Source organism: Homo sapiens, chromosome 3 (assembly GCF_000001405.40).
Source record: "Homo sapiens chromosome 3, GRCh38.p14 Primary Assembly".
NCBI classification, from domain to species: Eukaryota; Metazoa; Chordata; class Mammalia; order Primates; family Hominidae; genus Homo; species Homo sapiens.
Window position 1 is genome coordinate 177,740,224 of NC_000003.12, and position 13,633 is coordinate 177,753,856.

Here is a 13,633-nt window from a genome sequence, read left to right on the forward strand (position 1 = left end):
AATTGGCATGTTATGACTAGAAGAAGGCAGTGCCATAGGAAAGGGGAAAGACCAGTGTGATGGTCAAGGGAGAAAGAAGAATCAACAACTATCTCTTATCATGAATAGACAAAGTATAAACACAAAGCGAGAGCTGATTTTGGGAAAAGACATTAAAGTGTCAGGGAGACGTTGGCAGGCAATGGAATTTGGCTTGAAAGAGGAGGAGACTGGAGCATGCATATAAATTGAGGTGACAATGCAATTCTGTGAGTGAATGAGGTTTCTAAGGAAGGACACTCCATAGAAGGAAGGAAGGAGTCAGGGCAGAACTTGGGAAAGCATCAACATTTAGGGGAGACAAAGGGGAGGTGTGAGAGTGGGGGAGATGGAAGAGTGAGATGATAGAGGTTGAGAGAGACAGTTGGTGAACGAGTCAGGAAAGTGCTAGTTCAGAGGCAGAAAAACCCAGCTTGGTTCAGCAAAAAAGGCCAAGAGCTTGAGAAGAATAAAGACTGGGAAAAAGGTATCATATTGTTAGGTGGTTAATTGGACCCTGCTGAGTTACAAGAAACTGGAGAAATGAAATTTCAAGAAGTTAGGTGACAGAGGAATGAGTATCTGGGTAAAGAAAGCAGGAGATTTTTCTTGAGGATACTTTAACAGCCAAGGCAGATTTATCATTAAACAAATGAGGCTCCATTCAGGCCCTTTAACTTCCCAGATCTTTCCCGAGCCCTAGGACTTGTCCTAGCAATGCCTTCCCATAGTCATGTGATCTGTGAAACTTACATATGTAAGATTTAATTGCTCTGAGGGGTAAGAACACTCTTTCTCCTCAGGCTGTCCTAAATGAAAAGTGGAATGCCTGCTTCGGATTCAAGCATCAGCTTAGAGAACTAGAGTTAAGGCTTAAGAGTCTCTGCTGTGTGGTTTGCATATGGTAGTTAACATATAGTTAAATTATTGCTAATAGTCACGGGAATTCTTCCTCCACCCACAGGGCCAACTCACCCAGCACTGATGACAATGTGGACATGTCGTTTGACATCGGGCATTTGGAGAAATGTAGGTAGTGGAGGAGAAAAGGTTTGAAATGAACAGAGCCAGAGCTAGTATGTGGAAAGTTCTCCCAATCATGAGATGTGTAAAACTACAAGTAGACGATCTGGTTCTTGTCAAGACCCAATCAGAATGTGAATTCTCACCTATCAGATACGATAACCTAAGATGCATAATATACCACCATCATGAGAAATCAATGACAAACTGGTTAATGGGTGTTGTCAGTTCAAAGAAGATTTAAGATTAGTCACAGCACAAGACAATTTGAAATATTTTGAAATATTTCAGCTCAGATATGAAACTTGATAAGAGATTTTGCAAATTGAAGAAAATTTCTACAACCTTATTTATTATCAATAATGAAATAGGAAGTTAAGACTTTTAAAAACTATAAATGTATAAATATTTTAATTAAATATACTGGATAAAAGATTGAATCCTTGCTAAATAAAGAAGCAAACTGAGAATGCAGCTAAAAAACAGAGGAAGATGTTAGAGGCCAGGCAGTTAATAAAATATTACATTATTTTGTAGATTTTGTGATGTTTGTGGTATTCGTTCATTTTTTAAAAAATGATACTTTATTGCATCTTTTCCTTATCTAAATAAATATTCATTTGCATCTATTTTTTAAATTTATGTATTTAAATTCTTTACCTTAAAGAACCTCTCCTCTCCCCCACCCCCAACTGTATCAGCTTTGGGCCCTTCAAAACCTGAATCCACTCTTATGTAACGGAAGTAGCAGTGCTTCTTGCCAGGAGTGTATTCAGGCTTGAAAAGAGTTAGGATGTCAGCTTTGGGCATGGTGGGATATTAAATATTTCATTATTAGCATTTTTTAGGATAGGGATGACCTCAGCCTTTTGTATGTAGAGGGAAGATGCTGGCTGTAAGAAAAAAAATACTCATGTAATAGGGATACTTTTTGGAACAGGTCTCACAAAAATGGAAATGAACGGGTTAAGACAGAGTGAAGATAATGGCTTTCAAAGGCAAGTTCAGATAGGGAGCTGCGAAGGAGGGAAGAGGGAAAGTGGATTTTGTGGAGGGGTGTGAGGGAGCTTTATTTCTGTGGCCTTAATGTTCTAGTTCATGTGGAGGCCAGGCTATCAACTCAAGTCTCAGGGGTGGGTATTTTTAGGGGTTTTCTGAGCCTGAGAAGGTCACTCATAACTATTTTGCAAAATGAAACTGTTAAATATAGTGATGGGCCTGCTGTCATTTTCTCAAACTCTACCCAGTCATCCTAAGATACTGTACCCAGATACCCTGCTGCAGACTTGGCAGTAACCGTCTCAGATGAAGAGCGAGTTCAGAGGTAATGCTATTCTAGTGTCAGCATGATCAGAGAATACAACTGAGGTAATCAAGTAAGCTTAGTGAGAAGAATGTCGAGTGGTGAGCTTGAGTTGTTGCCTAAAAAAAAGAAACAACAATTTATTTATATATGGCCTTATTCCACACAGGATTTAAGGTAGCTTATAAGAATGCATGCAATAAAATAGCAAGATGTGGTCCATAAATAAAAAATCAAGGCTGGAAAAAGCATAAAATATAGATAAGAAGACTTCAGATGTGGCTTGCCAGTGGTCTTCAAATAACTGAAGCGTTGTCTTGTGGAAGAGCATTTTGGGATATTTGGTATGTGGGTTCGAGAACATGAGGATATGTGTGTTGTAGTCTGTTTGGGCAGCTATAACAAAATACCATGAACCGAGTGGCTTATAAACAACAGAAATTTATTTCTCATATTTCTAGGGACTGGGAAGTCCAAGATCAAGGCACCAGCAGATTTGGTATTTGGTAAGGGCCTGCTTTTTGTTTGATAGATGGTGCCTTCTAGGTGTGTCCTTACATGGTGGAAGGGACAAGGCAGCTCCCTGGGGTCTCTTTTATAAGGGCACTAAGCCCATTCATTAGAGTTCTGCCCTCATAACCTAATTACCTTCCCAAAGCCTTACAACCTCATATCAGTACCTTCAGAGTTAGGATTTCAAGGTATAAATTTTGGAGGTTCACAAACATTCAGACCATAGCTGATGTGTGTGGTTACCGTAAGGCAGACATCAGTGCAACATAAGTCAGAACTTTCTAACAAGTGCAGCTGTTCCACAGTGGCACAGATATCATGAGCTCCTTCTTTATCAGAGGAGGCATTTAAACAGAACTAGGTAACCTCCTTTCTGGCCTCCTGTGGAAGCCAGGAGATGCAATGGGTAAAGACTGGCCTCTGACATACCCTTAGGATCTGGATTCTAATGACTGGGTGACACGAATTGTTCTCAACATTGCTCTATAAAACATGAACTATTCTGAAATGCTCCACACAACCATAAAAACTTGTCAGTGGCCATTCTGAGTACCTCTATGGCCTGTAGCGTTGTCACCCACCTTTGAAATATCACTGCACATTGTAAACCCAAAGTTTCTGAGGCAATATGAGTCAGCTACATATGGGAGGGGAGGTGGAGAGAGAGCTGGATGGGTTTTACCTACCCATCATGCCCCTGCTTTCTGGGTGACCATTCTGTAGTTTGAAGAGCTAGTGGATTCCATTCCCTTATCATTCAATAACAAATGGCTATTGTTCTGCATCCTATGTCAGGCCCATTTTAGATCCCTGCAAGCAGAACAGTGAAAAAGCAGACATGGTCCCTGTTTTCAGAGGGCTTGTTGCTTCATGGGAAAAAAATGACAGTAAAAATAATCACACATGTATATCCTACAAATTGTCACATGCATGATGAAGAAAGAAAAGAATATTCTAGGAGAGAGGATAGCTGTAAGACCTGATATCGCATGAACAAAAACCATCTTTACTGAGGTCAATTAAGTAGGGAAATGTGGGGGCTCAGATGGAGAGATTTCAGGCTGAGGGGACAATGTGCGCAATATGAGGAAGCACAGAGCGTTTGGGGAATGGCCCAAAGGCCAGAATGGCTGAGTGAAACCTGGAGAATGGTGATCCAGTGATGAAAGCAGCGTGAGCAGTTCAGGAGAGAGGGTCCAGGCTGTGCTCATAAGCAACTTCAAGGACTTTTATCTTTATCATGATGGTGCTGAAACTCTTAGGGGTTTTACCAGGGGAGCAATATGATAATACTGGTGTTGTGATTTGTTTTCTTTTTCTATTTAAAAAAATAAAATCACTTTAGCTTTAGAGTAGAGACTGCAGTAGGGGTTGGGGCAAGAATAGATATAGGGAGATTACAGAATAGGCTACACTAGTGATCAATTGACAGATGGTGATGGCTTGGCCAAGGACAGTGGTGGCAAAGATGGAGAGAAGCAAATGGTTTCTCAAGGTGAGCATGGGATAAAAATGAACAGGATTTGGCAATGGGTGGATGGGAGGTAAAGAAGGAAAAGAAAAAGTGGCATCAAAGATGGCACCTTGAAACTGGACAGACTAAGTGTTCCATTCACCGATCAGGCATGTGAAGAGAGGGCTGGTATGAGGCAGTGGCCGGAGCAAAACAGAATTCCTCTGATCTTACCTGATTCAGGATTAGAAAAGGTAACCAGTTGAACTGATTCAAATTCAGTTCAATTCAATCCTATCTGGTTCAACTGAAGTCACCTTATGAAGCATCTACCAGACGAGCCTCTGTGAGTGATTCAGACAAATATAAAAAGCCCTCGAAGGGGTTGCATGATCACATCTTGTACTAGGTTAGTGCCCAAATAACCCAAGCACCCCATGGAATGTGAGAGGTGCCTACAGGGAGAGATGGAATGCCACTGGACTACAGCGGCCAACTCCTCTCACCCCAGAGGGCTTGACTGACCTACAAGAAGAATTGGACTGACTTTATCTCAAAAGGGAGATAAGAGTCCATAGGCTGCCTTTGAGGTTAGTGGGCAATGAGTCATGTGGATGTGGGAAACTCACAGTTTCCCTCCCTTGGTCTACACTGACCAAGCCCCAAGGACTGGAGTATGTACACTTGTTCTCAGCCCCGGCTCCCTCCCGGACTCCCAGCACTTCCTAAAGGATCCTTTGCTTGTGTCTTCATCTCCTCAGATAATAACTACTCTCTAATTATCCCATCTGTATTTTACAAGAGCTAATTAGAAAGTGTCTGATAGCCTGGGAATTTTCTGACAAAGATAGTGCACAAATCTAGCCTGTGTATCTGCGGATGATGCTTCTAGCCACATCACTATTTCTGGTTACAAATGGAAAGTAGGAGCCCGCACCTCCTCTCTCCATCTCCAGCCTTGTCAGACTCATTCACACCACTTCCCACTGACCCCTAGGTGTTCATCTCCCACTCTCCTCCCAACTCCACTCAGAATCTCAGTGTAAATACCATTCTCTAAATGCAAATACTTCTGGGAGAATTCTTATGCTTTTATTTAATTCTGGATTTTAATAATAGTAATTAATGCTTGTACACCTCATTCCATTTTCAAAATGTGTTTCTTTACATATTTCATTTAATACTCACACAATCTTGTGGGGCAAATATCCTTATAACAGTCTTCCCCAGAGAGGCTAAGCTATTTACCCAAAGCCAGAGCACTATGCAGTGACTGAGCGTGAGACTCATTTCATGCTCTCTATTCAACCAGTTGTTTTCTTCTGGTTAAAGCAAACAAATATGTGTCAGGAGGAGAGCTTGAAGATGTGAGCAGAGAGGATTTTTTTTTATTATCCCTTGAAATCATAAATATAAGCAGCAGTCAATTTCTCCCGATTTAATGGTAGTCCCGTTGTCAGCACAATGGCTAAGAGTACATGATGTTGAGGAAATAGGCCTATATTTCAATACTGACCTTCAACCTCATTCTATATGACTTTGAGCAAGTAGTTACAAACTGGGACAGTATTAGTTGCACAAATGTATTCACCTCCTAGGTCATAGGTTTATTGTGAAGAACAATTGAGTTAACGTATATAAGCAATAGTTTCTGAAACATAGTAAATACTTAAAACATATTTGTTTCGTGGGGTTGTTATTTTTCTATTCTGGGGCTCAACTTCCTTTTTGACCTCAGTCTGAACAGGGGAGGCGAATAACTTTGAAGTGCTTCATGCTTCAGTTTGACGAGAAATGACTGACTAAAATATTGTGTTGAGAAGGATTCTGAGGTTTGCTTTGGGCTCAGCTGAAATGAATAAGTGTTCCTCTGTGTGTGCTGCATAATGATGCCCTTTTCTCCAAAGCTGTTTGCAGGGCCTGTCACAGCCCATGCCTTTACCTCTCAGTTTCACTGTCTGCCTTAGGCATTTACTCAAATACTTTTGTCGGGACTAGTCCAGCATGTTTTGACTAAATGTAGTTTCCAGCTCACAGGGGTACTGCCTGCTTGGGTGAGAGCAAAAGAATTTAATGAATAGGAGCTATGTATGGATGGGCTCTAACGAGAAGGGTTAGCAGGCCAGGGATTAAAAAATAACTACACTGCAGCCACTCTGGGTGAGCCAACCCATGATGTATATTTCCATCTAAATAAAATACATTCATTTTGAAGACCGCAAAATAGCTGTAACTTGAGATTCCCACAAATGCTTGGAAAACTGTCAGTCCTTTCTGAGTGGCAGTAGATAGAGAAGCAAGAATGCCAGGAAGAAATGTGAGATGGATTCTGAGAAACAGGGCCTGGATTAGCCTTCCAAGAAGCCAGGATTCTTTAGCACTGATCTAGCTTTCCAGTGTTTTGGGGATAGTATTTTTACAAAGCTTACTGATTAAACATTTGCTGATCTCTCTCCTGGAAGAATTACGGAAATACAATAATTATTATGAATGGTCTCTTAGAGCTGGTCTAATCAAAGATTCCATTCTGTGATCTGCAGAGAATTCTAACAGTGTGCTGTGTTTTTCTTTTTCTTCTACCGAATTTATCAATGTCTTGGGTCATTATTTGCCTGATCATAACAACATACATTCATGAATATGTATCAGCTAAAATCTGCAATTTTATGTGTTAATTTGCTCATGTCTTTAGGTGTTTATAGCAATTAAATAAGACCTTGATAAATTTGGAGGAAATAAAAAAAGCTTTGACATTATGAATGCTTATGTGGTTGAATTGCAGGCACTGAGATAAATTATGTTTTGTGCAACTATTAATTCATTGATTAGCTTATTAGATATTTTTCCATTTAGTTATGTGTCTTCTTAGGAAATAAGTAAGACTAAGTTCTTGACTGCATTGTTTGGCCTTCTGGTGTTCATTTTGGCTTATGAATGCAACCAATCCTTATCTTGGCTAATGTGAATATAAGTGGGCTGTCTTGTTGGGGATTTATCAGGGAGGTATAGAAATTTATTTGTAGTGAATCAGGGCCACCACAGGGAGGGGCAGGTAGAGAGGGGTTCAGTGACATAGAGGTCACCAGTGGAGAGGAGACCGGTGACCAAGGGCTCTGGCTGCCTGACAAGGAAAAGCTAGGAGTAGCAACAGCCCTGTAGAACATGGTAGTGGGAATTCCAGTGGGTGCTGTTCCAAAGGCAGGGCTTGGTAGGGCAGGGATTTGGAGTGGGTTCCAGAGAAGATGCATCATCCTGGGAACTGGGATGTGCCAGGGTGGAAATGGTACCGGGGCCCAGAGGAATGAAAGTGGTGACAATTTGGTCACAGCCCATACTTCCGGGAAGGGATGGAGATGAGGCCAGATTTAGCAAATAAAAATACAGGATGTTCAGTTAAATTTAAATTTTGAATAGACAAAGAATGATTTTAGTATGAGCGTGTCCCATGCAATATCTAGATATATTAAAAATTTACTTGTTGTTTATCTGAAATTCAAATTTAACTGGGCATCCTGCATTTTATCTGCAAACCTTAGTGTGTGTGGATGTGTAGGAGGGACACTGGTCAGCACTTGTGTACTTGGGGAAGCCTCACTGATCTGGGGATGATGGAGGGATTGGCTGTGGGGAGTCAGGGGAAGTAGAAGATGCAGCAGGATGGTTAGTGTGTGTGTGTGTGTGTGTGTGTGTGTGTGTGTGTGTGTGTGTGTGACAGAGAGAGTGAGAGAGAGATAGACTAATTTTATGTTGGTTTTAATTCATTACTTTTTTGTTGTTGTTGTTTTGTTTTGCAAGAACCAGCTGCACTTGGCTTGTGTCAAAGACAGGATATTTGTTGGTTTGTAACATGAAACTGTCAGACCTATGTGTGCCCAGAATGATGACGTTCCATTAAGAATGAAAATTTTAGGCTGGGTGCGGTGGCTCACGCCTGTAATCCCAGCACTTTGGGAGGCCGAAGCAGGCGGATCACCTGAGGTCAGGAGTTCGAGACCAGCCTGACCAACATAGAGATACCCCGTCTCTACTAAAAATACAAAATTAGCTGGGTGTGGTGGCACATGCCTGTAATCCCAGCTGCTCGGGAGGCTGAGGCAGGAGAATCACTTGAACCTGGGAGGCGGAGGTTGCGGTGAGCTGAGATCGCACCATTGCACTCCAGCCTGGGCAACAAGCATGAAACTCCGTCTTGAAAGAAAAAAAAAAAAAGAATGAAAATTTAAATCCCCCAAAATGGTTGTCTAGATAACACTGAACACATGAATACTCAGAGACATTTGGATGATGGGTGTCCTTTGCATAAAAAGCCACATGACTGACAGTATTTTTCCATTTTTATTCAGATATTTTTGAAATAATGTAGACAGCCAACAGGCTCACCTCCAAGAGAGAATACATAATCATTGAGGTGGGAGATTTTCAAAACTACTTCTTATTTTTTTCCAGTTTATGTGATTTGTTTTCATTTCTTCAAATCATTTTAGTGATCTACTCCATCCCCTTCCTAGTGCGCAGCTCACTATCTGGCACATAGCAGATATGAAATAAATTCTCTTAAAATGATGGATGGGTAAATGAATGCATTATTCTTAAATCATTTATCCTTCAGTACAGAAATTATACTAGGGCAATGAGGAACTATTTGTTTAGAAGAGAACAGACATCTATTGAGTGTGCACTATGAGCTAGAAACTGGCCAAGACAATATGTGTGTGTATACACACACACAGACACACACACACACAAACACATAAGTATATATATGTACTTTTACAGCCACCTTGTCCTATGGTTTGAATGTGTTCCCCAAAGATTTTATGTTGGAAACTTGATCCCCAGTGCCATGATGTTGGAAGGTGGGACCTCATAGGAGGTGTTTGCATTGTGGGGCGGATCCCTCATAAATGGATTAACACTGTTATCACAGGAGTGGATTCATTATAAAAGGCCAAATTTAGCCTTGTCTTGCTCTCTCTCCGTTGCTTTGTTTGCCCTTATGCCACAGGATGACACAGTAGGAAGACCTTCACCAGAGTCTGGTCTCTCTATCTTGGTCTTCCCAGCCCCTAGAAGTATGAGAAATATGTGTCTGTTGATTATAAATTACCCAGCCTGTAGATTTTGCTATAGCAGCACAAAATGGACTGAGACATCATGCAAGTGAGCAGTAGTAGCCCCATTACACATTTGAGTAATACTCACAAGAGGATAAGTAAATTGTGAAGAGCCTTATTAATTAAGAAGTAGAGCTGAGCTATGAGCCTGCTATGAGTTGTTAGGACATCTCCATTGACTCTGGGTTGCCTTTCTGAACTAATCTGCAGTAATTGTTAATGTTTTAGGGGTCTCATATTATTTGAGAATTTGATGAATGTCAGGGCCCTCTCCCAGAGACATGAACATAGAAAAATATATTCTCAACTTTACAAGTAACGTAGGTTCATCATGAATCCCTGATGAATAACTCATCATTACAGAATATCAGATTTTTTTCACCTGGAGTCAGGAGAAAAGATGAGAATCAGCTTGAAAGCAGGGCAGGCATAGCATACTTACTATCCTATTCAGGAACCTTCTCTCACTGGGGATAAAGGATCAAGTATCTTCTTTTCATACCAGGTCTTCCTAACCCTCAGGGAGCTCTTATACTTCCTCCATTCTTAGTGGGATAACATACAGTCATGCCACATAATAATGTTTTGTTCAATGATGCATACACCGCGGTGGTCCCATAGATTATAATGGAATTGAAAGGCTCCTATTACCTAGTAATGTGTTAATAATCCTGACCCTCTGTGGATCTAAGCTAATGTGTGTGTTTATGTCTTAGTTTTTAACAAAAAAGTTAAAAAAATTAATAGAAAAGAGCTTATAGAATAAAAATATATAGAAAGAAAATATTTTTGTACAGCTGTACAATGTGTTTGTGTTTTAAGCTAAGTGAGAAAGTTAAAAATATATGATGTTTATAAAGTAAAAAGTTACACTAAGCTTAAGCTAGTTTACTATTGAAGACAGAAATTAAAAAATAAATATAGCATAGTCTAAATGTGCAGTGTTTATAAAGTCTACAGTAGTGTACAGTGATATCCTAGGCCATCATATTCACTCACCACTCATTTGCTGATTCACCCAGAGCAACTTCAAGTCTTGCAAGCTCCATTCATGGTAAGTGCCCTATACAGGTTTACCATTTTTATATCCTTTATACAGTATTTTTACTGTACCTTTTCTACATGTAGATATGTTGGAATACACCAATACCGATTGTTGTGTTACAGTTGTCTACAGTGCTCAGTATAGTAACATGCTGTACAGGTTTGTAGCCTAGGAACAATAGGCTATGCCATATAGTCTAGATGTAGGCTGTACCATCTAGATTTGTGTTAGTACACTCTATGATGTTTGCACAACAATGAAATTACCTAAGGACACATTTCTCAGAATGTATTCCCATAGTTAAGTGACATATGACTGTGGTTCTATTGGTAAATCTATTCTGGTTTAATAGTCAACAAATGTAGATTTTACAATTTTTACTTTGCTTTAATATTCAACAAATGTCGATTTTACAATTTCTACTTTGCTTTATTCAGTGATTAGAAAATTACTCAATAATAGCCACTTAAATAAATTATGTATCAGGTGCTTGGGGCACAGCAGTGAATAATTCAAATACAGTTTCCACCCAGAGGTGCATTCCTCATGAAATAGAAGAAACCTGAGCTTCAGGTCCCCTCGCTAGCACAGCCCCTTCCAAGGTTCTGGGAGATGCCTTAAGATGCATCCACATGATTATATATTTTTTGGTAAAATATACAAAGTAAGGTATTTTTGTATTGTTCTTGAAGAACAAGTCTCCTTCCTACACTGTAGAAGCTGCAGGCACCACAAAACCTTCATCTGCCCCATCACTATCCTCATGGAGATTAGAGTCTAGCATTGAATAAGTGATCACAGGAGTGAAGGGTTTTGGGTTGGGAGGATAAATTAAGAGATTTGGTCTTTTTGAGGGTCAGTAAAGGTTTCTTGGAGAAACTGACATTTAAGCTGAGACCTGAAGGCTTTTATAAAAAATTTTTGTTCTTTGGCATGGAAGTAGCTGCCTCATCAGGCGGAGGGAATTGTGGGTGTCAAGGCCCTGGGCAGGGCTGAGAGAGGGCAGGGCTGGTTTGAGAGCCTGAACTGGGTACCTACAGTTAGCTAGCTGAGCCTAGCTGGTGAGCGGAGACGAATGAAGCATTTTGAACGTTATTCTAAGGACAATGGCATGCTGCTGAAAGGGAGTTACATAATCAGATTTGCATTAAAAAACCGAAAAAACACCACTCTAGCTGTAGGGTGGAGAATGAATTTTGTTTTGTTTTTACCCTCCAGAAACACCACCTGGAACACAGCTGTGACTTGATAAACAAGTGAAACATTCTTTGGTGTGGTGAGGGGAAAACAAATTTCTCAAAGGACACGCACCATGGTGTATGAGAGGACACTGGAGCCCAGCCAGCATCTGACATGCTGAATTCAAAGTGCAGGTGAAAGTAGGACAACTGATTCACAAGCTGGGATGCCTGTGTTGTTGTTTGCCAGTGTGCGTGTGTGTGTTTTCCTGGCACCCTTCATTCATTCCCCAGCACAGTTGACATCAGGTTGGAAGCAGTGAGTTCTGAGGGAGACTGCTAGAGGACCCAACTTGGAGAATCAACGATCTGCGATGAAGATAATGAAGATAAAGACAATGTCAATGTCAGCGTCCAAAATCATAAGGACCCTTTAAGAAGCTTCCAGAGCAGAAGTGACTGTGCAAGAAGGGCCAATAAAGTCTAGGCAATGCACGACCAGGCGCGGTCGCTCACGCCTGTAATCCCAGCACTTTGGGAGGCCGAGGTGGTTGGATTACCTGAGGTTAGGAGTTTGAGACCAGCCTGACCAACATAGTTTCACCCCATCTCTACTAAAAAAAAAAAAAAAAACAAAACAAAAGTTAGCCAGGTGTGGTGCTGCACACCTGTAATCCCAGCTACTCTGGAAGCTGAGGCAGGAGAATCGCTTGAACCCAGGAGGCGGAGGTGGCAGTGAGCTGAGATTGCACCGCTGCACTCCAGCCTGGGCGACAGAGTGAGACTCTGTCTCAAAAATAAATAAATAAATAAATAATAAAGTCTAGGCAATGCAGCAGACTGCAGACAAATGGGTCTCCAGACTCATGAGCACTTGGCTTTTGTTACTCTCACCTCCACCACCCTTTACCTGGTTCTATATCTGTCCTTTGGACCTTCCTGCATTTACCTTCCTGCTTTTGCTCCTTAGTCTGGTTTTGTCCCAGAATTTACTCTCCTACTGCCCGCTCTCCTGTCCCTGATGGTTCATAGTTTCTTACTATCAGGGAGAAACCCTGATATTGACTTGGCCCAGCAGTAATTCTGTCCATGCAATTCTCTTGCATGGGCTGTGACAGGCAGACACCTCACTAATTAGATCAGCACAGGGGTCTGCATACATTTAGTGTGGGGACCTCCAGCCCATCCTGGAGCGCACAAATTTAGTTCAGCACCATTCAGCTGCTGAAATTTGATGCAGTGGCCCTGGATGACCAAAGAATGTGGTGATAATTCTAAACAGGGTGTGTTCATTAAGTGAAGGAAATGTAGAATACGTTTTAGATGAAAAAGAAATTTTTAAGTTTGGAGGGTAAAGATCAATCATCCGTAAAACTAACTGATATATAACAGTTCATTTTTGTTGATACTAGATAAATAAGGAGTGAAGACATTTTCAGAATTACAATGGCATTTATCTGCCTTCATTAAATTAAGCTCAGGAAACTAATGCAGACTCCAAATTGCCCACAGTCTAACACAGTCTCTGCATCTGCGGTTAACAAAATTAAATTTGGGAAAATCAAGAGTAAGACTTTTAATGTTTCTACCACCTGTCAGCCTGGAAAGTTTTCTTAGTTTTTCTTTTTGGAGAGGCATTTGAGATTTGTGTTCCTGTCAACTTGAGAGAGGAATGGAGGAAGTCAAAGGGAAGAAGAGGAGCTGATGTTGCAGTCCGAGGGGAAACAGGAGTGAGGGCAGGGAGCCCAGAAGAGGGTCAGGGTGAAGATGGGTGTGGGGAAGGCAGAGCAAACCAGCTGCTGCTGTCAACCCTGACCTATTTCCTGGAGCTCTGGGAGCCCTCCCATCCCTGCTCTCAGCAACAGTGATGCTGCCTTTGGGCGGCTGTGCAGCCAACCCACACTGAGTGATAGCTGTCCCTGTCATTTTCTTAAATGTCACCAGTGAAAGAGACATTTCCACCTCCCTGGAGTACACATACTCCAC

The 13,633-nt window shown here is 41.2% G+C and overlaps 1 long non-coding RNA gene across 1 annotated transcript in view; it reads left to right on the plus strand.

Moving 5' to 3' along the window:
* LINC00578 (long intergenic non-protein coding RNA 578) overlaps positions 1 to 12,481 on the plus strand; it is a 310,784-nt gene extending 298,303 nt beyond the window's left edge. The window contains exon 4 of the long non-coding RNA NR_047568.1: positions 11,688 to 12,481. This is a non-coding gene — a long non-coding RNA (long intergenic non-protein coding RNA 578). The remainder of the gene's footprint in view (positions 1 to 11,687) is intronic.
* The last annotated feature ends 1,152 nt before the right edge of the window (positions 12,482 to 13,633 follow it).